At 45.4% G+C, this 27,065-nt stretch overlaps 1 long non-coding RNA gene across 1 annotated transcript, besides 1 other annotated feature; it reads left to right on the top strand.

The window, feature by feature from the left end:
• Positions 1-480: 480 nt before the first annotated feature.
• LOC101928202 (SLAM family member 5) lies at positions 481-26,525 on the top strand. The gene is made up of 6 exons (XR_001738254.2): positions 481-784; positions 1,102-1,200; positions 19,801-20,193; positions 21,754-22,050; positions 23,661-24,088; positions 24,370-26,525. It is a non-coding gene; the product is annotated as an SLAM family member 5 (long non-coding RNA).
• Positions 811-2,010: an enhancer, noted in NCBI's record as "BRD4-independent group 4 enhancer chr1:157279563-157280762 (GRCh37/hg19 assembly coordinates)". NCBI's record gives its function as "activates an origin of replication core promoter dependent on BRD2, P300/CBP, MED14 and CDK7 cofactors, and independent of BRD4, by STARR-seq in HCT116 cells {active_cell/tissue: HCT116}" and the evidence as "EXISTENCE:reporter gene assay evidence [ECO:0000049][PMID:35650434]".
• Positions 26,526-27,065: the final 540 nt, after the last annotated feature.

Genomic DNA, 27,065 nt, shown 5'->3' with positions numbered 1-27,065 from the left:
ACACCTCTGGGATTTGGGTTTCACATTGATTAAATGGGTTTAATACCCAGGAACCTGACTACCTTGAGATGGTCTTGGGGTCAGGCCTGCAGCTCCAGCCTTGGGGGTGTTCTGCCTGGGCAGCCATCAGGGGAGACTACTTGAGGAGAAGGAGGCGGTGCCTGGGGGTTAAGAAGATGGTGCTCCTCCCTCAGGCTAATGGGAGGGGGAGTTCTTAAATGTCCTGGAGTATCCAGGTCTGGAGAGAAGAGGACATCACCTGAGCCTCAGCAGGTAGTGGTGGGTTTCAGGCTGCTGAGGCTGTGGCAGAGGGAGTGTGAACTTCTCTGCCCCACCCCTTTGAAATACTAGGAGCAGAGCTGACACAGGCTGAAAGGAAAATTTAGTTGTGATGCAGCCAAGAGCCTGTCAGCTTCTGCAGGGGGTTCTTCTTACCCTGCGTGTATGGAGAGTTGATGACCCCTAGTGGGAGCTGAGAAACCACACAGCCGCCTGCAACAAGTAAATGCTGATATTTGCATTGGAGATGTGGGGAGTTAACACTCTCCACAGGAGATCTGTTCTTTTGCTTACAGCTTCTTACTTAGGCAACTGAGAATTGAAGTTTTTGAAAAATCAAAACAGAAATTTAACTTATTATGTGAGGTAGGGACAAAGTAAAGTCATCAAGTTCAGGAAGGGCATAGCCCAGCCTTGCTGTAAGAGGGTGACTTCTGTGCCTGACCATAGGCTGACACTGGTGACCACGGCCACCTGGGGCAGAGCTGTGAACCCAGAGAAGCAGGTGAGTGTCAGGAGAGGGTGTGGGAGGGAACACCAAGCTGGCTGTGCCCGAGAGAAGGGGGCCTGTCTAATACACTGCCAGGAACATCACAGAATGAGGTTATGCCTTTATTTCTTCTGCAATTACTTATTGACTATGTGTGGTACTGTGGGGACTGGGAGGGGAGGAAAGAGCTGAATGGTTTTCTCTCGACTCGTGGGCTGTCTCCCCAGTAGTAACTTGCTGGCCCTGCCCTTGAAGTGGGGAAACTGTGAAGGGCTCCTTGATCAAGCTCGTCCTCTTTTCTTACCTCTTCCTCTCTTCTGTTTCCGCTGCAGCTGAACAGGCCAGCAGGCAACCTGCCATGGGGTCCTGCTCCAAGAACCGGTCCTTCTTCTGGATGACTGGGCTCCTGGTATTCATCAGCCTCCTCCTCAGTGAGTGGCAGGGTCCCTGGGAAGGGAGGGCAATTGGAGAGGGCTGGGCTAGCTGGGCTCTGACCAACGGGTGGGCTGTTCAACTTCTGATGTCTTTGGGCAACAACACAGAAAAACACTCTGTTATGATTTACGAATGCAACATATTTGGTTGGAGTCCCAAGATGGAAAGAATGAAACATTTTTTGGTAGTGAGAAGGCTGGGAACCCCGAGCCAGGGCTACCTTCGCTGCACTGAGAGAATCGTCACCCACTGCATGGGCCTAGGGCTGCTCTCCAAGCAAATCATCACAAAAGAGAGGGACCTTGAACGTCTCAATCTTAAAGTCGTGTTTGTAATTTGCATTACTGTTCATTTTAAAAATTAAAAAGAACTTACCTTTGGGTAAAATGTGTATATAGTGGGCACCCTTCACATCCCTGTGAGGTGCCTTTTCCTCCACTGGGAAATGCTGCTCAGACCATGTTTATTACAGCACGGTTCTAGGAAAAACCCTAGAAAGAAACAGGAGGAGCCCATCAATTCAGGAACATGTGAACAAGTCAAAGAGTGTCTGTACCATTGCATATTATGGAGGTTACAAAAACAAATGTTCTAGTTATCTGGAAGGACTGTTCAACTTCCATGAATTAAGATGCATAGATTCCCATCAGCAAGACTCAGGAAACTGAATACAATACAATCTCGCTTCATAAAAGGAAACACAGTCACCAAAATTTAAGCATCTAAATGTTTCTAAGACTATGCTAAAAATGTGGAAGGAATCAGTAGATTGCCAACATGGGCTACGAGAGGACATAAAATTGAGGAAGAAAACACAGAGAGAGGGAGAAAGTAGAGAATACAGAAAGTTAAGCAAAAAGTGAACTGCAAAAAAGACTGTCCTAATCTAGGCTGTATATCACAATCATTATTTTATGAACGATTATATGGTTGTAAGTGTAATAAAATTAAATTTTAAAATGAGAAAATAATAAGATTTAGTGCATTTTGATGAAAGCTGTTCTTGTTATAATTTTTTGCTTTTATATCCCAGCCACTAATCGGACTTACAGGGAATTATATGAAATCTAATGGATTACAGAGCACTTGTAACACAGGAGGTCTTGAAGGAACAATGAGCTTTGCAATAGAAAGGGGTTAGATCTCCTTTCTATCAACAGCAAAACGCAGGCTTTCTCTGCTTATACGATGCTCTTTACCTGGAAATATGTCTAACTGGGTAGAGTTTTCTCCACTAGGCACTAGATTTGGAGGATTACTAAAGAAAGAAAGAGAGAGAGAGAGAGAAAGAAAGAAAGAAAGAAAGAAAGAAAGAAAGGAAGGAAGGAAGGAAGGAAGGAAGGAAGGAAGGAAGAAAGGAAGGTGGGAGGGAGGGAAGGAAGGAAGGAGGAAGGAGAAAGGAGAAAGAGAAAGAAAGAAAGAAAGAGAGAGAGAAAAAAAATAAAGAGAAAAAGAAAGAAAGAAAGAGAAGGAAGGAAGGAAGAAAGGAAGAGAGAAAGAAAGAAAGAGAGGGAGGGAGGGAAGGAAGGAAGAGGGAAGGAAAGAAAGAAAGAAAGAAAGAAAGAAAGAAAGAAAGAAAGAAAGAAAGAAAGAAAGAAAGGAGAGAGAGAAAGAAAGAAAAGGGAGAGAGGGAAGAGGGAGGGAGGGAAGGGGAAGGAAGGAAGCAAGGAAGGAAGAAGAGTTAGAGAGAAGAAAGAAGAAAGAAAGAGAGAGAGAAAGAAAAAGAAAGAAAGGAAAAGAAAAAAGAAAAAAGAAGGAAGGAAGGACTTAGAATTTCTCATTTTGGGGGAAGGAGATCTGTGTTCACAAAAAGAAAGTGATTATCTCAGGGAACCACTGTGAAGGAATGAAATTGAAATTGGTTGTCCAATTAGGCCTGACCTCTGTGGTATGAATGAGACAAGCCCCCAGGCAGTGGAGTTTGGTCAGAGGCTGTCCGTGGAAGGAACATTACCATGAAATTGCTCTGGATCCTCTGAGGAATCCTGAAGCTCCACAGTTGGATGCATTTTTTTTCTGTGGTTTCTGCATTGTCCCTGTTCCAGTTCACCCTTGACCCAGGGAGAGAGATGGATGGTGAAGTAGTGATGGTGAAGGTGGAAATGAGGAATTTGCCCCTCATCATTCTTAAACTCTTACACCCTTTCTGGACATGTGTTTGGATAGGAAAGTGTGGAAGGGAAGGAGGGAGACTGAGGGTGGCTCAGCTCACATATAATTTCCTAGAGACACAGTAAGCTACACATGAGGGTGGTCCTAGACTTCTGGCTACTCCCTGACCATAATAATAACAGCACTTACTGAATGCCCACCCCGTGTCTGCCAGCAGGGAGCTGGAGGAGAAAGCATCTCTGCATTAGGGGCTCCAGACAGAGACATGAGACAATGGAGATGGTACCAAGAAGTGCAGTTTGGACATCAAACATGAATCGTTGGTTTGTGAGTGTGCTGATGGGGGCTATGTCAGACAACTGAGCAACATTTTATGTTGTTTACAGGGCCTTAAATTTTATACAAATTGAATTAATGTTTAGCTCCACCTTGTAAATGACCACCTGCTCCCTGGCTTGTTTTTTCTTCTTCAGGATCAGCATCTCTGCAGATCAAAGAGCTCCTGCTGCCTTCCTTCCCTCTCTGAGTCTTCGTCTTCCTCCTGGCTATGCTCATCATCCACTTTCTGGGGCAGATCCTCCCTGGCAGCCTGAGGGCTGAGCCTCCTCTCTTCCCAGTTCCCTCATCCAGGAAATGGGGTCTTTCCAGGCTGCCTATTTAGCCCTCTGCTAGCCAGAAGTCCCTGCTCTGCTAAGCCACTGAAAGTACCTGCTTCCTTTTTCAGGAAAGGGCAGCTGGGGTGGAGACCTCAGCAGCTGCTCAGGTCCTGGTGGGTTCAGACAACAGTGTAGCTCAGCTCTGGGGAGGGCAGGGGAGGGTGGAAGAGCTCTTGGGCAGCGTCCTGCAGGGGAGGCCCTGGGCTGGGGGAGGAAAGTGGGCTCCAGGTGTGGCTCTGCCCTGTGTGACCCAGGAAAAGTCTACCCCCTAGAGAGCTCCCTCCTCTGTTAAAGCAGGGACTTGGGCAGAATCACCCCTGAGTCCCCTCCCAGCAGTGAGGTTCTGGGATACTGTGGCTTCATCAAGGCCTCTACTTTGTCTCTCCCATCCTCTCTTGTCCTATCCTGTGGCTTTATAGGCACTGAGAGCTGGTGAGCCTGTTTTGGGCTCCTTCAGAGAGAAAACTCTGGGTGTCCCTGTGGCCACTTCCTCAGCTCTTGAGGGAGGAAGGGACTTTTCCTCTCTCAGCCTCCTCTACCTGACCCTCTGCTTCTCCGCCTCTGCTCCTGAGAGGGGTCTCAGGGGCCAATGCCCTTAGACCACCTGCTGAAGGACATTAGTCCATTCTCTCATTGCTATAAAGAACTACCTGATACTGGGTAATTTATAAAGAAAAAAGGTTGAATTGACTTTCAGTTCTGCATGTTGTATAGGAGGTATGGCTGTTACAATCATGCCAGAAGGTGAAGGGGAAGGAGGCACGTCCTACATGGCAGGAGAAGGAGGAGAGAGCAGGGGCAGTGCTACACACTCTTAAAAACCTATATCTTGTCAGAATTCACTCACTATCATGGGAATAGCAATGAGAAATCCATCCCCATGATCCAATCACCTCACACCAGACCCCTCCTCCGACTTTGGAGATTATATTTTTACATGAGATTTGGGTGGGAACACATCTTTACCACTTTCCTTGCTATAAAGATGTTCTCAGCTTTTCAGTAACATGGTAATTGATGATGACAATGTGTGGACATAGAGCAATGAACTTCCTTTTAAACTCAGGGCTCTGGTAACCAAGTAGGCCCTGGCTAGACCTTGACACCCTGCAGCCACTTATGGCATTGAACTCAGATATGTTTAAATCCCTAGAACCCATCCCTGTACCCAGGAGGGGACCCCTGAGAGGGGCGGCTGCTGGGGAGGAAAGGATAGCAGCCTGGAAGCTGGGAACACCTGGTTCTGATTCCAGGTGGGCTTGGGCAACTAATACTCATCATGATAATGGGAGCAGCTAATATTAATAGGACAACTACTGAATACTGTGCTGAAAAATTTTTTCTATTTAAACCCAAAGAAGAGTCCAATGAGGTAAGCATTTTCATTTTTCTTCATATCACATATGAGACTGCTAAAGCCAGAGAGGTTAAATAACTGTTCAAGTTTACACAGCCAGAAAATGAAGGATCAGGACTTAAGTTTCATGGACTCTAAAGTTCAATCTTTTCACCACTTTGTGACACCAGTCATCTGTATCACCTGACTCCAAAATAAGTTTTGGGTGGATCTAAGAGTAAATATAAAATTTAAAGCCATAAATGCATTTAAAACAAGAGAGAATTTAAAACTCTCTCTTTGAATTGGGGGTACCTTTTAATTAAAGGTTTTAATTAAAACCTCTTTGTTTGAATTGGGGGTTACCTTTTGAAGGAAGATACAAAAAGAGTAAGCCATAAAAATGGATACATTTTACTTTATGAAAATAACATTTTGGCATTGCAAACAGTCTGTAAGTAAAGTTGAAAAACAAACTTAAAAATTGTAGTATGTTAGAATAAAGGCGAATGTTCTTAAAATATGTCTAACTCGTATAAACTAATAGAAAAGAAACAAGTATAGATGGACAAAAGACATTAGCAGACAGTTCATAGTTCACAGAAAAGGCAGCAAGAATGACATAGTAATGTAAAATGATGATGATGAATCTTGTTTATAGAAGAAATGCCCATTAAAACGATAATGAGATATTTTCCACTATCAACTTGACAGAGTTCAAAAAGTTTGATCATTAGGTATTGGTGACAGACCTAAATATTTGGTAGGCTTGTAGATAGGAACACTCTTTGGAGACAATAATATCAATCAAAAGTATAAGTACATGTGCCTTTGACTCATTAGATCCACCCTAATGATTTTCACTGTTATATACACATCCATGTGTGTAAAGGCACAAATATAAGGATATTCATTGCAACTTTGTGGTGTTAAGCAACAACTTAAATATCAGAAGCGGAGGAGGATTAGAGCCCCACAAGGAACAGTTTGCAGACAGGAGATGGGACACACCCATGTGTACAGATGCAGAGTGGGCTCCAACAAATGTTGCTTTGAGAAAAGACAAAGAGCAGGACAGTCGCATAGAGTGTGTTGTGTATGTGGAGATGCACATGTGTGTGTTTGAGTGCATAGACTATCTCTGCATAGTAACACAAGACACTGATAATAGTGCCTGCCTCTGGAAGCCAGAACCAGGCAATGGGAGTCAGAGACAGGAGTGACACTTCCTTTTTCAATCTCCTTAATTTCTCCCTCCTTTTAAAGCACCATATGAATATATAATCTGATTAAAATAAAAAAATTAAAAAGCCTCTTAGTGTTACTGAAATGCAACCTCCCCAGCCTTTGCATGGGGATAATAATCTGTAACCTCCCACCTTGAAGGGTTGTCCTGAGAATCATCAGATGTTCAGTATCTGAAGAAACCGATGAGAGGTAGAAACTGGGAATCAAGTTCATGGGGTATGGGCAACCTCTTTCCCCGACAGGGAAACACTGGGAGAAATCCAGCTACAGTACTGTGGCAATTCCATGGCAGGTGGGCCCTAATACTGGTAACAATTATAACAACTCAACTGTACAGTTGAGTGCTTTTTAAAAATGTATCATATTTTTAGTGCTTGTAGGAGCCCATGAGTACTTACAATTATTATCTCTATTGTTCATATGTGGGAACTCAAGACTTAGATTAGCAACTTGGTAAAGATCACTCAGCCAGTAAATATGGTGGATCTGGGATTGAACCCAAATTGTCCCACTCCAGAGCTTGTGCCTCATGTGACTTGCTGGCCAAGGGCCCAGCCCTGACTCTCCAGGAACCCCTGAAAGAGTTAACCTGTAATCCTTTGGTGCCACCGTCTTTGTCCATCTGTGTGGCTATAAATGAATACCTGAGGCTGGGTAGTTTATGAAGAGAAGAGGTTTATTTGATTCATGCTTCTTCAGGCTGTGCAAGAAGCATGGCATCAGCATGTGCTTCTGGTGAGGGCCTCAGAAAGCTTTCACTTATGGCAGAAGGTGAAATGCAGCAGACATCACATGGCAAGAGAGGGAGCAAGAGAGAAGTGAGGGAGCTGTCAGCTTGTTTTTCACATTCAGTTCTCACAGGAACTAACAGAGCAAGAACTCACTCACTACCACAAGGATGGCACCAAGACACAAGGAAGGCCACCAGGGCCCACCTCCAACACTGGGGATCTAATTTCAACATGTGATTTAGAGGGGACAAAGAGTTAAACTATATTACCACCTTTCCTGAGTTCCTGCATTAGATTCCTAGGACTGTGAGATAACAAGAACCGAGTGGCTGAAACAATGGAAATTTATTGTCACACAGTTCTGGAGACTAGAAGCCCAAAATCAAGGTGTTGACAAGGCCACACTACCTTTGAAATCTGCAGGGGTATATTGGTCAGCTATGGATACCATAACGAAATACCATAAACTGGATGGCTTAAACAACAGAAAGTTATTTTCTCCCAGTTCTAGAGGCTGGAAATTCATGATCAAGGCTGTGGCCAATTAAATTTCTGGTGAGGCCTCTCTTCCGGTTTTGCAGAAGGCTGTCTTCTATGTCCTCACATGGCCTTTCTCAGAATACGTGCATAGAGAAAACTCTCGTGCTTTTTGAAGTCTCTTTTTATAAGAACACTAACACTATTGGGTCATGGTCCCACCCTTATGAACTCATTAAACCTTACTTCATTAGAGGCCTCATCTCCAAATACAGTCACACTGGCTGTCAAGGCTTCAACATATGAATTTGGGGATACATAAATATTCATTCCATAACAAGGGAAACCTGTCCTTGCCCCTTCTTAGCTTCTGGTGTTTGCTGACAATTGGTGGTGTTCCTTGTCTTGTAGCTGCATCAGTCAAACCCTCCATCTTCATGCACCTTCTCCCTATGTCTCTTTTCATTGTCTTACCTCTGTGCATGTCAGTGTCTGTGTCTAAATTCCCTCTTTTTATAAGAACACCTGTCATATCGGATTAGAGACCACCCTCATGACCTTATCATAATTGGACTATATCTGCAAAGATCAGATTTCCAAATAAAGTTGCCTTCTGAGGTGCTGGGTTTAGGAATTCAACATATCCTTTATGGGGGACACAATTCAACCCATGCCCCACCTCTCCCTCAAAAACAAGCCCTCCTGACTGGGGGACACTAGAGTCTAATAAATATATCTGCAGCATCACCTTCCATGTATCCTGGGGTGCCCGCCTGGAGACTAAATTTGTATTTCTTCTTGTTTATAAATATTGAAAGGTGTGTCTGCACCTTGAAAGAGGTATTCCAAAAAATTTCAAGTATTCTCCTTTGGTTATGAAAGTATAGTATGAGCAGGTCACATTTGGGGGGGAAAGAATAAGGAACTAGAACTTTAGGATTTTAAGACACTTAAAAGTGCCCTCCTGTGGCGAGTATGGGAGTGGGGATGTCACTGTATATATGTTGGGTGCAGTGTGGGAGCTCATTGTCGGGGAGGGCAGGTGGCCCGAGGTTCTGGGTCTGTGAGGTGGCTGCCCTGGGAAGAGGCCGTGTGTGTGAGTTGAAAGTGGCTCTCTCCCACAGTTCCTGCATCTTTGACCTCTTTGGGCTGCTTCCCACTATCTGGGGAAGACCTTGGGACATAGGTGGCCAGATGGCCTTTTCCAGGAAGCTTCAACACCATGACCAACACCCCCCTTCAGAAATATTTGATCCTTGGATGGTCATCTTCCTACCCAAGGGAGATTTAATGAAGGTCCTGAGGGAGTTCAGCTCACCTGCCTGTCCTGTGGCACTCTGCCTGCACCTGGCCACAGAGGTGCATCTACATCTATAATTGGGGTTCAGGGTCCAGTGGTGTTGCAGTCTCACCGATGCACCTTAATGTAGAAGTTTCCCGTGGTCTGAACTAGTACCCTGGGTGTTTTGTCCTACCTCCAAGAAAATTAAGAAACATAGGCACAAAGGCGAGGTTGGAGCAAAAGTTTAATAAGTGAAAGAAAAAATATTCTCCGCAGCAGAAAGGGGAGTCTGAGTGGATTGCTGGGTTATATCGCTGAATTCAAAAGCTTTTTACAAGAAACTCCTCTTGTCTCTGCAGCAATTTAAGTAACTTCTTCTATCGGTAGGGCTGTCTGCACAACTCCCCCTTTTCTATGTAGTTGTGGGTATGTCTCTGGGCAAGCCCAAAGTACCACTTCTCTTGTTTATATGATTGTGGGTTTGTTTTAGGTAAGCCCCCCTTCTCCCTGTGCAAGTTCCCACCATGACTATGCCTGAAAAGGGAAAGAAACTTTTTTCTAGGAGCTTGCTAATAGACAAAGAACAAAAAGTTTCTGTGCTGGGCTCTGTTTGTTTATCTGTCCAGGTGCAGCTTGAGTTTTTTTCCCTTCCCGCTCCCAGGTTGTTTTATTTTTGCCTGTTGCTGTGACTTTTCAGGCAGGCTGCTTCTGCAGTGTGAATTTTTTCTCCAATCATTTTTCCTTTCCTTCTCCCTCAGTGGCAATGGCCACCCCAAACCTTGGCGGTCTCACCCCAGTCTCTCTATCATACCCCCTCTCCTTGGGACAGTCTTGAGCCCTGTGAATGGCTTTAACTTGGATGGGCTAGGCCACTTTGGTTTACAGTCACCCTCACTTAGTGTGGATTTGTGAACAGGGAGCCTGGTTCAGAGGAGGTGCAACTGCCAATCACAGGAGAGTCCTAGCACTCACTGCAATTGGAAAAGTGGAAATGTATTTGGCTTCTGTCCAAGTGACAAGATCCACCAGGAGCAGCCTATACTCACAGGGTATCACTGGTATCCATACCCCAGCCAGCACATTACTCCAGGACAGACTAGATTGGACTCCTCCCCATTGAGACTCCAGGAAACCTGAAATACTCAGGATCCTGTGGGTGCATAAAGGCAGGGGTTGGAGCTTGGAGGACAGAATGCACTTCTACCCTTTCTGCTACTGACAAATAGCCACCATGTCTCAGGACCAGCCTTTGTGCCCTGGCTTGTTTAGAGGGCTCTGGCAGCACAGCCTCATCTGGCTCTCCTCAGCAATATTTTGTGGGCCAAGTCAGGTGTCTGTGCTGCACCCCAGGATGTTCTGTGGGAGCGCATAAGCCCCCTCTTGAACCGGGTGTCAGAGGAGTGTGAGATGTGGGAGGAGGAATCGTGGAGGAACTGGAGGTGATAGGAGGAGGCTGGTGGCTGCTCACTTGCTGCCTCTCCTGTATGACCCTAGGCAGAACCGGACAGGGCACTGGCCCACTGATATGATTTGGATGTTGGTCCCCTCCAAATCTCATGTGGAAATGTGATTCCCACTGGGGATGAAGGGAGAATCTGGTGGGAGGTGATTGGATCATGGGGTCAGGTCCCTCATTAATGGTTTAGCACCATTCCCTCGGTGCTAGGTGGGGACTTGCTCAGTTAGTTCCCGTGAGATCTGGTTGTTTAAAAGTGTGTGGCACCTCCTCATCTCTCTTTTTTTTTTTTCTTTTTGTTGACTTTTATTTTAGCTGCAGGGATACACGTGCAAGTTTGTTATATAGTTAAACTCATATCATGGGGGGTTGTTGTACAGATTATTTCTTCACTCAGGTACTAAGCCTACCACCCAATAGTTATTTTTTTTCGGATCCTTTCCCTCCTCCCACCCTTTACACTCAAGTAGGCCCCAGTGTCTGTTGTTTCCTACTTTGTGTCCATGTGTTCTCATCATTTAGCTCCCACTTACATGTGAGAACATACGGTATTTATCTTTCTGTTCCTGCATTAGTTTGCTAAGGATGATGGTCTCCAGCTGCACCCCCTTTCCTGCAAAAGACACGATCTCATTCTTTTTTATGGATGCATAGTATTCTATGGTGTATATGTACCATATTTTCTTTATCCAGTCTACCATTGATAGGCATTTAGATTGATTCCACATCTTTGCTATTGTGAATAATGTCGCAATGAACATATACATGTATGTGTCTTTTGTTAGAATTTCAATTTGTTCATATATATATGTGTATATATATACATATATATACATATATATGTGTGTATATATACATATATATGTGTATATATATACATATATATATATATACACACACATATATATATCCTTTAAGTTCTGGGATACATGTGCAGAACATGCAGGGTTGTTACATAGTTATACTCATGCCATAGTGGTTTGCTGCACCCATCAACCCGTCATCTACATTAGGTATTTGTCCTAATGATATCTCTCCTCTAGCACCCCACCCCCCAGCAGGCCCTGGTGTGTGATGTTACCCTTCCTGTGTCCATGTGCTCTCATTGTTCAACTCCCACTTAAGAGTGAGTACACAGAGTGTTTGGTTTTCTGTACTTGTGTTAGTTTGCTGAGAATGATGGTTTCCAGTTTCATCCTTGTCCCTGCAAAGGACATGAACTCATCCATTTTTACAGCTGCCTAGTATTCCATGGTGTATATGTGCCACATTTTCTTTATCCAGTCTATCATTGATGGGCATTTGAGTTGCTTCCAAGTCTTTGCTGTTGTGAATAGTGCTGCAATAAACATACATGTGCATGTGTCTTTATAGTAGAATGATTTATAATCCTTTGCATATATATCCAGTAATGGGATTGCTGGGTCAAATGATATTTCTTCTTCTAGATCCTTGAGGAATTGCCACAGTCTTCCACAATGGTTGAACTAATTTACACTCCCACCAACAGTGTAAAAGCATTCCAAAATCTCCACATCCTCTCCAGCATCTGTTGTTTCCTGACTTTTTAATGATCCCCATTCTAACTGGCATGAGATGGTATCTCATTGTGGTTTTGATTTGCATTTCCGTAATGACCAGTGATGATGAATTTTTATTTATGTCTGTGGGCTGCAAAAATGTCTTCTTTTGAGAAGTGTCTGTTCCTATCCTTTGCCCACTTTTTTATGGGGTTGTTCATATTTTTCTTGTAAATTTGTTTAAGTTCTTTGTAGATTCTGGATATTAGCCCTTTGTCAGATGGATAGATTGCAAAAATGTTTTCCATTCTGTAGGTTGCCTGTTCACTGTGATGATAGTTTCTCTTGCTGTGCAGAAGCTCTTTAGTTTAATTAAATCCCATTTGTCAATTTTGGCTTTTGTTGCCACTGCTTTTGGTATTTTAGTCATGAAGTCTGTGCCCATGCCTGTGTCCTGAATGGTATTGGCTAGGTTTTCTCCTAGGATTTTTATGATTTAGGTCTTACATTTAAGTCTTTAATCCATCTTGAGTTAATTTTTCTATAATGTGTAAGGAAGGGGTCCAGTTTCAGTTTTCTGTATATGGCTAGCCAGTTTTCCCAGCACCATTTATTAAATAGGAAATCCTTTCCTCATGGCTTGTTTTTGTTAGGTTTGTCAAAGATCAGATGGTTGTAGATGTGTGGCATTATTTCTGAGGCCTCTGTTCTGTTCCGTTGGTCTATATATCTGTTTTGGTACAAGTACCATGCTGTTTTGGTTATGGTAGCCTTGTAGTATAGGTTGAAGTCAGGTGGTGTGATGCCTCCAGGTTTATTCTCTTTGCTTAGGATTGTCTTAGCTATACGAGCTCTCTTTTGGTTCCATATGAAATTTAAAGTAGCTTTTTCTAATTCTGTGAAGAGTGTCAATGGTAGCTTGATGGGGATAGCATTGAATCTATAAATTACTTTTGGCAGTATGGCCATTTTCACGATATTGATTCTTCCTATCCATGAGCATGGAATGTTTTTCCATTTGTTTGTGTCCTCTCTTATTTTCTTGAGCAGTGATTTGTAGTTCTCCTTGAAGAGGTCCTTCACATCCCTCGTGGATTGGATTCCTAGGTATTTTATTCTCTTTGTAGCAATTGTGAATGGGAGTTCACTCATGATCTGGCTCTCTGTTTGTCTATTATTGGTGTATAGGAATGCTTGTGATTTTTGCACATTGATTTTGTATCCTGAGACTTTGCTGAAGTTGCTTATCAGCTTAAGGAGATTTGGGGCTGAAATGATGGACTTTTCTAAATATACAATTATGTAATCTGTAAACAGAGGCAATTTGACATTCTCTCTTCCTATTCGAATAACCTTTATTTCTTTCTCTTGGCTTATTGCCCTGGCCAGAACTCTGAACAGTATGTTGGATAGAAGTGGTGAAAAAGGGCATCTTTGTCTTCTGCTGGCTTTCCAAGGGAATGCTTCCAGTTTTGGCCCATTCTATATGATATTGGCTGGGGGTTTGTCATAAATAGCTCTTATTATTTTAAGATACGTTCCATCTACACGTAGTCTACTGAGAATTTTTAGCATGAAGCGGTGTTGAATTTTATTGAAGGCCTTTTCTGCATCTATCAAGATAATCATGTGGTTTTTGAAATTGATTCTGTTATGTGATGGATTACGTTTATTGATTTGCATATGTTGAACCAGCCTTGCATCTCAGGGATGAAGCCCACTAGATCATGAAGGACAAGCTTTTTGATGTGTTGCTGGATTTGGTTTGCCAGTATTTTTTTGAGGATTTTCCCATTGATGTTCATCAGGGATATTGGCCTGAAATTTTCTTTTTTTGTTATGTCTCTGCCAGGTTTTAGTATCAGGATGATGCTGGCCTCATAAAATGAGTTAGGGATGAGTCCCTCTTTTTCTATTGTTTTGAATAGTTTCGGAGGGAATGGTACCAGCTCCTCTCTTTACCTCTGGTAGAATTCATCTCTGAATCAGTCTGGTCCTGGGCTGTTTTTGGTTGGCAGGCTATTAATTACTGCCTCAATTTCAGAACTTGTTATTGGTCTATTCAGGGATTCAACTTCTTTCTGGTTTTGTCTTGGGAGGGTGCATGTGTCCAGGAATTTATTCATTTCTTCTAGATTTTCTAGTTTATTTGTGCAGAGGTGATTATAGTATTCTCTGATGGTAGTTTGTATTTCTGTGGGATTGATGGTGATATCCCCTTTATCATTTTTTATTGTGTCTATTTAAATCTTTTTAATTCTTCTTTCTTTTCTTTTTTATTAGTCTGGCTAGCAGTCTATCTATTTTGTTATCTTTTCAAAAAACTGGCTCCTGGATTACTTGATTTTCTTTCAAGGGTTTTTCATGTCTGTATCTCCTTCAGTTCTGCTCTGATCTTAGTTATTTCTTGTCTTCTGCCAGCTTTTGAATTTGTTTGCTCTTGCTTCTCTAGTTCTTTTAATTGTGATGTTAGGGTGTCGAATTTAGATCTTTCCTGCTTTCTCCTGTGGGCATTTAGTGCTATAAATTTCCCTCTACACACTGCTCTAGCTGTGTCCCAGAGATTCTGGTACATTGTGTCTTTGTTCTCATTGGTTTCAAAGAACTTATTTATTTCTGCCTGAATTTCATTATTTACCTAGTAGTCATTCAAGAGCGGGTTGTTCGGTTTCCATGTAGTTGTGCAATTTTGAGTGAGTTTCTTAATCCTGAGTTCTAATTTGATTTCACTGTGGTCTGAGAGACTGTTTGTTTTGAATTCCATTCTTTTGCATTTGCTGAGGAGTTTTTTACTTCCAATTATGTGGTCGATTTTAGAATAAGTGCTATATGGTGCTGAGAAAAATGTATATTCTGTTGATTTGGGGTGGAGAGTTTTGTAGACATCTATTAGGTCCGCCTGGTCCAGAGCTGAATTCAAATCCTGAAAATCCTTGTTAATTTTCTATCTCGTTGATCTGTCTAATACTGACAATGGGGTGATAAAGTCTCCAACTATTATTCTGTGGGAGTCTAAGTCTCTTTGTAGGTCTCTAAGAACTTGCTTTATGAATCTGGGTGCTCTTGTATTGGACGCATATATATTTAGTATAGTTAGCTCTTCTTGTGGCATTGATCCCTTTACCATTATGTAATGGCCTTCTTTGTCTCTTGATCTTTGTTGGTTTAAAGTCTGTTTTATCAGAGACTAGGATTGCAACCCCGGCTTTTTTTTTTTTATTTCCATTTGCTTGGTAAATATTCCTCCATCCCTTTATTCTGAGCCTATGTATGTCTTTGCACATGAGATGGGTCTCCTGAATACAGAACACTGATAGGTCTTGACTCTTTATCCAATTGGCCAGTCTGTGTCTTTTAATTGGGACATTTAGCCTGTTTACATTTAAGGCTAATTTTGTTATGTGTTAATTTTATTCTGTCATTAGGATTCTAGCTGGTTATTTTGCCCATTAGTTGATGCAGTTTCTTCATAGTGTCAATGGTCTTTACCATTTGGTATGTTTTTGCAGTGGCTGATACCGGTTTTTCCTTTCCATATTTAGTGCTTCCTTCAGGAGCTCTTGTAAGGCAGGCCTGGTGGTGACAAAATCTCTCAGCATTTGCTTGTCTCTAAAGAATTTTTTTTCTCCATCGCTTACAAAGCTTAGTTTGGTTGGAGATGCAATTCTGGGTTGAAAATTCTTCTCTTTAAGCATGTTGAATATTAGCCCCCACTCTCTTCTGGCTTGTAGGATTTCTGCAGAGAGATCCACTGTGAGTCTGATGGGCTTCCCTTTGTGGGTAACCCGACCTTTCTCTCTGGCTGCCCTTAACATTTTTTCCTTCATTTCAACCTTGGTGATCTGACGATTATGTGTCTTGGAGTTGTTCTTCTCAGGGAGTATCTTTGTGTTGTTCTCTGTATTTCCTGAATTTGAATGTTGGCCTGTGCTGCTAGATGGGGAAGTTCTCCTGGATAATATCCTGAAGAGTGTTTTCCAACTTGTTTCCATTCTCCCCATCACCTTCAGGTACACCAGTCAAACATAGGTTTGGTCTTTTCATATAGTCCCATATTACTTGAAGGCTTTGTTCATACCTTTTCATTCTTTTTTCTCTAATCTTGTCTTCATGCTTTATTTCATTAGGTTGATCTTAAAACTCTGATATCTTTTTTCCTCTTGATCAATTCACCTATTGATACTTGTGTATGCTTCACGATGTTCTTGTGCTGTTTTTCGGCTCTATCAAGTCATTTATGTTCTCCCATAAATGGTTTTTCTAGTTAGCAATTCCTCTAACCTTTTCTCCATGTTCTTAGCTTCCTTGCATTGGGATAGTACATGCTCCTTTAGCTTGGAGGAGTTTATTATTACCCACCTTCTGAAGCCTACTTCTGTCAATTTGTCAAATTCATTCTCCATCCAGTTGTGTTCCCTTGTTGGCAAGGAGTTGTGATCCTTTGGAGGAGAAGAGGCATTCTGGTTTTTGGAATTTTCAGCCTTTTTGCTCTGGTTTTTTCTCATCTTCATGGATTTATCTATCTTGGGGCTTTGATGTTGGTGACCTTTGGATGGGGATTCTGTGTGGACATCCATTTTGTTGATGTTGATGCTATTCCTTTCTGTTTGTTAGTTTTCCTTCGAACAGTCAGGCCCCTCTGCTGCAGGTTTGCTGGAGGTCCAGTCCAGACCCTGTTTGCCTGGGTATCACCAGCGGAGGCTGCAGAACAGCGAAGATTGCTGCCTGTTCCTTCCTCTGGAAACTTCCTCCCAGAGGGCACCCACCAGATGCCAGCTGGAGCTCTCCTGTATGTGGTGTCTGTCGACCCCTGCTGGGAGGTGTCCCTCAGTCAAGAAGAATGGGGGTCACCCCCCCCAGGGGGACCCACCTGGGGAGGCAGTCTGTCCCTCAGCAGAGTTCAAGAACTGTACGGGTAGATCCACAGGTTCCTGCTGGCAGGAACCTTTAAGTCTGCTGAAGCTGGACCCACAGCTGCCCCTTCCTTCAGGTGCTCTGTCCCAGGGAAATGGGAGTTTTATCTATAATCCCCTTACTGGGGCTGCTGCCTTTCTTTCAGAGATGCCCTGCCCAGAGAGGAGGAATTTAGAGAGGTAGTCTGGCTACTGCGGCTTTGCCAAGCTGTAGTGGGATCTGCCCAGTTCAAACTTCCCAACAGCTTTGTTTGCACTGTGACGGGAAAACCACCTACTCAAACCTCAGTAATGGCAGATGCCCCTCCCCCTACCAAGCTTGAGCATCCCAGGTCAACTTCAGACTGCTGTGCTGGCAGTGAGAATTTCAAGTCAGTGGATCTTAGCTTGCCGGACTCCGTGGGGTTGGGATCCGCTGAGCTAGACCACTTGGCTCCCTGGCTTCAGCCCCCTTTTCAGGGGAGTGAACTGTTCTGTCTCACCTGTGCCACTGGGGTATGAAAAAAAAAACTCCTGCAGCTAGCTCAGTGTCTACCCAAATGGCTGCCCAGTTTTGTGCTTGAAATCCAGGACCCTGGTGGCTTAGGCACCCGAGGGAATCTCCTGGTGTGCGGGTTGTGATGACTGTGGGAAAAGCGTGGTATTTGGGCCAGATAGCACAGTCCTTCATGGCAGGGTCCTTCACGGCTTTCCTTGGTTAGGGGAGGGAGTTCCCCAACCCCTTGTGCTTCCAGCTCACCATCCATGGGCAACACCCACTGTCTAACCACTCGCAGTGAGATGAGCCAGGTACCTCAGTTGGAAATGCAGAAATCACCCGCCTTCTGCATTGATCTCACTGAGAGCTGCAGAACAGAGCTGTTCCTACTCGGCCATCTTCCTCCCCATCTCTCTTGCCCTTGCTCTGACCATGTAATATGCTGGCTACCCTTTGCCTTCCACCATGACTGTGATCTTTCTGAGGCCCCCACCAGGAGCAGATGCTGGCTCTACACTTCCTGTACAGCATGCAGAACTGTGAGCCAATTAGACATGTTTTCTTTATAAACTATCTAGCCTTAGATATTTCTTTATAGCAATGCAAAAATGGACTGACAAAACCACTAACTCACTGATGTGGATCCTGAAGGCCTGTGGTCCTGGTGCTAAGGGGTGCTGAGCCTGGGGTGGGGCCTAGTCCCTTGAGGGAGCTGAAAGGAGGGAGTGAGGCCTGGCCCAGAGGAGGGGGTTGGTGAACTGAGTTAGTGTATAACTGGAAACATAAATATTTGAAATGCTTCCACATCTAAGGATTGGCATGAGCTATTTGCTTTCAGTGAGAACCAGGAATGGGTGTAGGACAGCAGAACGGTGCAGGCTGAAAATGGGGAGGAATTTAGTCATTAGAGAGAGCACTGGGTGCCCTGCCACACAGCAACAAACCCAGATGGACCTGGTCCAGATTGGTCCCACCCTGGTCCCCAGGAAGGACAGAGGTCTCTGGGTTCATTGTGGATGTGCCTGATTGACAAGGAAGGGCTCAGAAAGAGGTGGAGCTGAGGCGGCTGTCCCCACTGGTCAGGGCTCTTTGGGAGACAGTGACTGAGGGAGACTGACCAGGGTCCTCAGGGGCACTGCATAGGGAAGTGCTCTTTTGGTGGCAGGGACAGAATGCCACCAAACAGTCCATCTGCTCCCCCACACTTTCAGCCCCTGGAAGTTAGCAGGGTCTCCTAACTAGTTCTGTCCAGAAAATATGGGTAGAGATTACATCACTTCTGGATGGTGCAGTGAATGCCCCACGGGTGCCTCTCTTATCTCCTTCCTTCTCTACTGTGGGGATGGAGGAGGATGTGATGAGGCTCTGGGTTCCATATGGAGCTGCTACAAGGTGTGGAGCCCCCACCCACGAGTGACATGACCCTTCTCTCACTATCCCTTGTGGGACATGTAATGTGAGTAATATACAAACTCCCTTTGTTCTAAGTCCCTGACTTTTGTAACTGTTGCCACAGGACAACCTGTATAATTCATGCCCTGTCTTATCCTGCCCTATCCTATCTGGGCTAATTCCCTTCCTAGAAGGAAAGGCAAAGGAAAGCAACCTTCATCTTTGCCTTAGTTGTGTATTGTGTGACCTGTAACCCTAGAACTTAGGGCCTTAACACAATATGGGACATGGTCTCACCGTTTATGGAGGTCAGAACCCAGGACCTGGTTCCTGTGGTTCATTGTCTCACAGTTTATGGAGGTCAGGGTCCAGGTGTCGTTCAGCTGGGTCCTGTGGCTCAAGGTCACAGAGACTGGAATGAAGGTATTGGTCGAGGCTGCCCTTAGCTCCCTGCCATGTGGGCCTCTCCACAGAGCAGCTCACAATGTGGTAGCGGGCTTCATCAGCCTGAACAGGAGAGAGTGATGGAGACAGAGGATGTGAGACAGACAGAAGGGACACTCCATCACTTTTGCCGCGTTTGCAAGTAATCAGTGCAGCCCATACTCCAGGGGAGGGCATTACACAGGGGTGTGCATACAGTGGGGAGGCATCCTTGGGAGCCATGTTAGAAGCTGCCTCCTGCAGTTATGCACTTAGCATATGCCAGAAAATGTGCTAGGTGCTTTTGATCTAGGGTCTCATTTGATCCTTACTCTCATTATGGGGCAGGTAAGAAAACCGAAGATCGAGGGGTTCAGGAACCTGTTCAAGATCACACTCCACTAGAACCAGGAGTGGATGCTAAAATTGCTTCAAGTCCATTGTACTAGGCAGCCCCCCCAGAATCAAGGGATGATTTTTGATGGATTTCTGTGACTCTGAACCAAAGTTCTGTGGTTCTCTCATTTGATCTTGATGAGGAAATACTCATGTTTCCTGTTTCTATGCCCTAGGTGTCTGCAGAACTGCAGCCAACACTTCTGGAGCACATGGCTCTGCAGGGAAGGATTCTGGAGCCCCCATTCATCTGAAGGGCATCCGAGGAGGTTCTATCTTGTTTAATGCGATCGAGAAGCTCAGAGTAGATGTAGGCACCGAGTTGGAGGAGGTTCTATGGGCTTTGGGCACTCTGACAGATCATACACAGTTGCTGCGAGTCCGCAGTGGGGCCGACTCTCCAACCTGGTTGAAACTCCAGGACAAGTTCAAGCAGAGGGTCCATGTACCCAGCATGTCATCCCTGAGGATTGAGAACCTGGCCCCTGAAGACAGTGGGCAGTACTTTGCCAACATCACCTCTACTAAGGGAGAGGGGATTTTCCAGGTTTTCTACCTCACTGTCTATGGTGAGTGACACCCCTCCCTCCCCCATCCTCTGGCTTACCTGCTTTTTTTGTCCCTAGAATGTCACATAGGCCCCATGCAGGGTTCCATTCAGACACCGACCTTCAGACTTCATTTTCTCCACTAAAAATAAGGCTTGTGAGGTCCCCAGACATAGAGAGCAGAGCTGAGATTCACACCAGGGAATGAAGCTCTTTCAGTGTTTTGGAAGAGGAAATAAAAATTCTGAAAAACAGCAATTTTTTCAATAACATTAATCGTCCTATATATGACTAATGTCAATTTGTATAGTAATTTTTTATTGCTGATGTAACAAATTGTCAAAAATTATTGGCTGAAAGCAAGATAAATTTATTATCTCACTGTGCTACAGGCCAGAGGCCTGACACAAGTGTCCGTGAGCTAAAATGAAGGTGGTGGCAGGGCTGTGTTCTTTATGGGGACTCCAGGGGAGAACTTGTTTTTTCACCTTTTCCACCTGCTAGTGGCTGCTGGCATCCCATGGCTCATGGCCATCTTCCTGTATCTCCTAATAGAACACTGATGTTAGTGTTTGGGAATTCAGAATCATCTCCGTATTTTAAAGTCAGCTGATTAGCCACCTTAATTCCATCTTAATGCCGTCAACCTTAATTCCTCCTCTCTAGCAGCCTAACCTATTCCCAGGTTACGAGGATTGGCCCTAGACATTTTGGAGGCCACTGTTCTGCCTACCACAGTTGGGAATCCCTGTGAATGGAGTCCTCCCAGTCCCCTCTCCTCTCACTCAGCCCCAGCCCAAAGCCGGCCTCAGTCACACAAGCCGCCACAAATCTAGCTCTCAAAGCCTCCATATGTGTAGGAGAAAGTTTACACCACAACACTTCTTAGGGAACCCATTTAGAAACTCTTTCTTTCCCTAAAGTTCCTCTCTGCATAGGGAAATATCCTGCCATGGAGAGAGTGGCTTTTGCAGCTTTAGGTCCCGTGTGATTTCTCAGGCTGGCCTGTGAATCTGATTCTTCTCTTCTGTCTGCAACACAGGTTCAGTGGCACTTTCTAAGCACACTCAGAGTCATTGTTCCCAGTCACTATCACCGCATCTCCCACAGACGTGTCTCCTTTAGGGATCATGGGCCTTTCTCTGGCCTCCCAGAGCTGACCTGATGTCCTGCCCCACAAGGGCTATGCAGTCTCAGGCATGGCCTCAGCTGGAGACACAGGGGAGGGACCCTGGTCCAGCACAAGCTTTTCTTCCCCAGACTTCTTCCCCTTCTTGGAAAGACCCTGATATTCTGAAAACCCTGCATCCTGGGAAGGTAGAGTCCAGATTTTGTTTTCTTTGGGACAGTTTTAAGACATGTTGAATCTAGAGAACCCACATGGAGCTGAACTCAGTGGCTTCCCTTCTTATTTCATTTGCTCAGTATTTAGCTTTGGGCAAATTGTGTTTCATCTGTAGAATACACCCACTTTCTTTATAGGGCACATGCCATGGCTGCAATGAGAAAATTATGAAAAGTGAGACGTGCAATGTTCTCCACACATGTGAGATTCCCCTCTTTTGTCCCCCTCTGCCCCAGAGCCTGTGCCTCACCCTGAGTTCCTGGCAAAGTCACTGTCTATCACACCAGACCTGTGTAACGTCACCCTGGAGTGTAGGGCTCCAGGGGCCACAGAGGACCTGAATGTGACTTGGGAGAGCAAGGGCCTCCTCAGAGAGCTGGAGCAGAGAGAAACACCAGGACCAGCCCCCAACCCCTGGACACTGGCTGTGAACCTGCCCCTGTGCCAGTGCAACACCCACCTCACCTGTGTGGTCAGCAACCAGGTGGATCAGAAAGCTGCAGTCTTAGACCTTAGGAAACTCTGTGTCCAAGGTGAGTGGCGAGTGTAGCCTGCAGGATAGGAGGGGCTGCCAAAGCTCAGGTAGCACTGGGGTCTGAGGGTTCTGGGCTCTCTTCTCTGCCATGTGCATTAGCACCACCTTCCACGTGCTCACCACACACAGCAGTGTGGGAGTCACATCACCTTCGTTCTGCCTTTAATCATCTCTCTCAGCCATACCCTCCTCGCCACATCCCCACCATGTCCCTGCCGATTAGGAAAGCAGCCTTCCAGGAGCTGTCTCACCCCATCCATCCTCCACTGAACATCCAGAGTGGGCTTTGGGAAAAGTGGGTCAAATTGGGTTGTTGTCTGTGTCTTCTGTGTGATCTGGCCTCCAGTTACTCCCCCATGGAATTTGGGGCTCAGATGCTCCTTTGCCCATGTTTCTGGCTTCACCTGTGCACTTCACACCAAACTCCTTTCTTTTATTTCCCAAAATATGTCCTGCTTTCTGTAAGCTTCTGAGCTTCTGAGCATGCTGTTTCTTACCCCATCAGCCCTCCCACACCCAGTGACTGATACTTCCTCTTTCATTCCTTTCCAAGCATTCCTCTAACCTATGACAGGCTTTATGGGCACAAGACAGATGCAGTCACACAGGGTCCCACACTTCACAGGATTCCACAATTGGTTAAAACTCTGCTATTCCTTCCTTGAAGTTTTTAATCCTTTTTAATCAAGGGAATTTAAATTTGCATTGCACAGGGCCCTGAAAATGATGTATCTGGTCCTGCCCTCAGGCCCCACCTCCTTAGGGAGCCGTCCATGGCACCTCACACTGAGTAGCAATGACCTGTTTATGTCACTGTCTGCCCTGTAGACTGCAATGTCTTGATGTTTTCCTTTGAATCCCTGTGCCAAGCATAGCTCCTGGCAACATTTGCTCACAAGCAGTATTCACTGAATGAATGATACCCTGTGTGCAGCCTCATCCTCTCCAACCCTCCCTCCAGGAGCTGCTGGGGGATCTGATGTGTCAGCATCACTTTAAACTGCCTGCCACCTCCTCCCTCACCCCCATCCTGGAGTGTTCAGCACTTAGCATGACCACAAGGCCCTCCGGGCACAGACTCTTGCCTCCGTCTGACTCCCCTTGCCACAGCTCCTCCCTGCTCTGTCTCTCTCCTGCTACAGTGGGGTGCCGGCAACTCCCAGGGCTGGTGTTTTGACACAAACATTTCCCGAACTTGGTGCTCCTATTTCCTTGAATTCCCCCATCCTGAATATCTGAGAATCTCACACTCGCCCTTAAGCCTCACTTTAGCCAGCACCTCCTCTGGGAGGTCCTCCCTGAAGACCTTGTACAAGGTGGAAACCACTATTGCAGCTGCGATCCCTCTGTCTGTAAGTTGGTATTTTCTGTCTTCCTTCCTGTGTGCTGGGCTGCTGTGGACATTGTCTTGTGCATCTCAGCATCCCTGGTACCAAGCAGCAGCTCCTAACCAGTTGAATGAATGGATCTGCCATGCTCCTCCCTCTTCAGCTTTGGCACCAGGCTCCTTCCCACTGCTCCACCTGCTTTCTCCCTCTGTCTCCTCTTGGCAATGAGTATCTCAAGTTACCTCCTGCCTTAACATTTTCCACTCTCCCCATGTGACAGAAACAGGTTCACACAACATGGTTAGACTGCTCCCAGGCATCCTAGGGGCTGTTGTGGGTATGCTGTTGGTCCTGGGAACTGGGCTGTATCTTTTGAAGACATGTGGGAAGAAGAAGAAGAAGATGATGAATATAGGAAGAGGCAAGTTGAATTTCTCCTTCCATACCCAGACACCTCCACTCCCTCACTAGAACCCCAGCTTCCTTTCTCCTGAATTTTTCTTCCAGGGAGTGGACTCTGCAGAGGGATGGTGGGTGTGACCTTGGCCTTGGGGTTCGTGGCAGTGGGGAGGGATACAGGTTTCTATGGCACAGATTCAAGCTTTGATTTTCTCAGGTAGAGAATTGCAGGAGAACCATGGGGTCGATGATGGTGTCAACCAATATGAAGATCTCAGGCAGCAAGTGTTTCCGAAGGGCAAGGACAAGGTAAGGGCTGGGGCACTGCCCACTCTGGCAACTCCCAGGTCTCTCTGTCCAGCCTTGGGCTTCTAATTCCAGGACCTGCCATTTCTGACCACACCGCCTGTTTATCTGTATCTGGACAATCAACAGCGTTTACTAAGAAATTTGCATCTGGGTGTGATGTAGTGCTGGGCACTTTAGAGGAATTCATGAGCTGTGCATGGCAGTGGGTATTGGCCCTGTGGGTCCCTCCACATCGTTTCTATCCCTCAGCTGATCCAACAACCCTCTGTCTTGTATTCCAGGGCATCGGTGAACAATATCTGGAAAAAAGGGAGTCTCTCACTCCTATCTACAGTGAGGTTCATTATCATTGTCCAGGCCAGGCCATTAAGATCATTCGATTGGAGGAAGCAACAGGATCTGGCACTCCCAGGACACCTGTACTCTGAGCCTGAAGCCTGCAGATCCCCGCCTTTCCCAGTGCTGGTTCAGTTTCCGCTGCCCCTAGTCTGTGTTACTCTGATCTCATAGCTACAGTTCTACAGTGTACCCATGGCCTGTTCGCATTCTGTGACACCTCCCAAAGATGCACTTACACTTGGGCAAAGATTCTTCCCTTGTCATTGACATTGCTCCTGACCCCTCTCTTTCAGAAGCCTTCCCAAGGGGACCCTGTCTGATTGCACAGGTGGCAAATCCCCACCACCTCTGCCATGTCACTTGTGTGTGTAATTCTGAGGACACAAGCCCAGACATGGGAACTGTGCAGAGGTGTTGACTGTGCTGCAGAGGAGGGACATAGACCTGGCTTCTGGATGCTGAGTTGGAGGATATCGTGGGTGGGTAGAAGCCCACAAAGGAACACGCCGAGGCTTCCTTTGCAGATTTTGTGTAGGGCTCCCTTGCGGGTATCAGGCAGTGCGTGTGTGCATGCAGGTTGGTGGTGGAGGGGGGTGTCTAGTGCACATTATACAACTGAACCAAAGCCACCTTTCTTTTCTTCTGTGCTAATCTGAACTTAATCTTCAGCCTCAGCCTGTGGATCCAAACTCAACTTCCTGTAGAGTGGAAAGAGAAATTTTTATCATCTCAAAACCTTCCTAGCCTCAGTGTCTCAGAGAATGACCCTAAGAGGCCACAGTTGGAGGCTGTCTTAGGAACACAGCCTCAGCTCTTTCCTTGGCCTAGTATAAGGCACTTGGCTGTAAGAACAGAAGTGTGATATCCTTCCACACCCACTTGATGAGGGCTACTTGGGCTCTGATGGGTGAAGCTGTTGAGAAGGTCTGACTCAGCCCTCTCCAACCTCTTCTTATTCTGACCCTTAATACCCCAGTAGCCATGCTGGCCCCAAACCCTAGGTCATCCACTTCTTTGCTCACTTGCATCCCTCTGCCTGACATGAAAGTTCCTTCTCCCTGTTCCTCACCCTCACTCCCGCCTGTTGAAATACTACTGTGCTTCTCAAAGCTCTTCCCAAGATGCTTGTTCCATGGAGCTCTCTGGATCTTAAAGGTTTAGACATGATCTCTCCCACAACTGACTTTTCTGAACACCTTGGACACTATGTACGGTCCCTGCCACAGTTTGTCCTGGGATGGTCATGAGTCTTCCTGCAGGACTAACCTGGGCTCTCTCAGGAGGATGTGGGGCTGTGGGGTAATAGGGCTGAGGAGACCATTGGTGCAAATGGTCTGGGCCACCTTGTTCCCAACCCATGGGGTCAGCAGAGGGAGATGCAGCACAGGGGCTACTGACAAACTCTCTGGTGTGGCTCTACCTGGAAACAGGGATGGACACAATGACCTCCCTTGACTATGCGTGGCCTGAGGTCCTAATTGGAGACTTCCTTACTCCCTCATCCACCTCTTATTGCGAACCTGGCCATTCTTCCATCATGGTATGTGGGTGTTTCTTTCCTCCTGAGGGGTCCTCAGCTTCTTGCAGCCTCTGCTTCTTATTTGAGTCCCAGCTTTTATGCAGAGATGACCTAACTCTAGTACCATGAGCTGCTGTGGCATGTCTGGTGGCCTAGACCCTTGGGCCTCTTAGTTTCCCTCATGGCTCAGGTGAGCTCATTTCCTCATTGCCACCCACAGAAAACAAAGATCTGAACAGAGTCCCTGCTAAGAGATGGAGCACTAGAAAATAGTGCTAGGTGCCTGCTGGATGGTGGGTGGGTGAGGCAGGAGGGAGAGGATCCATAGCAGGGCTTCATTTCTGCCGTCTTTCCCTTTAGGCTGAGCTGAAGGCCGAGGGTGTGCCAGTCTCTTCACTGGCTTCCCAGGTGACTGGACATTACTGGGTATCAGTGCACATTAACCCTGGGGCAGCATAAGATGTGATCACCCAACTAACTGACCTTCCCACTGCACCAAAGGCAACAAAAAACCAAACCAAACAAACAAAAAAGAGGAACAAGGCTTTTGAGGCTGTTTTGAACCAGTTTTTGTCCCAGGCACTTTGCACATATTATTCTTTTTAATTCTTCTTTAAATACATTTTTAATTTTAAAATACTAAATGTTTTACTCTTCTTGTTTATGATTTCTTCCAATGATATCAAACTTAAAATTCCTCTGCATTCAAAGGACCCAATAAATTTTTATTTATATTTTCTTCTGTTGAAAACATTACATTATAAATACACATTTTACTCTGATATTCCTTTTAATTGTTATAAGAACCTACTATAGTTGGTATAGGTCAACAGTATTCAAAACTAGTTGGTGGCAGAGCAAAGCCTTAGATCCAACACTGGATGATTCCAAAGCTCCTATCTTTTCCCCTCATGACAATGGTCACTGAAGACCGTTGCTATGGTTTGGATGTTTCATGTTGGAACTTAATCCCCAATGCAAAAGCATGAAGAAGAGCCGGGTTTTAGGAGGTAATTAGGTCCCAAGAATGGGATTGGTACTCATAAAATGGCTTGAGGACAGTGTCACCCCTTTTGCCCTTCTGTCACTTCAACCATGTGAGGGCACAGTGTTCCTCCT

This window comes from Homo sapiens, chromosome 1 (genome assembly GCF_000001405.40).
Source record: "Homo sapiens chromosome 1, GRCh38.p14 Primary Assembly".
Lineage (NCBI taxonomy): Eukaryota > Metazoa > Chordata > Mammalia > Primates > Hominidae > Homo > Homo sapiens.
The sequence above is the reverse complement of the archived record's forward strand: the minus strand, read 5'-3'. Positions and strand labels throughout refer to the sequence as shown.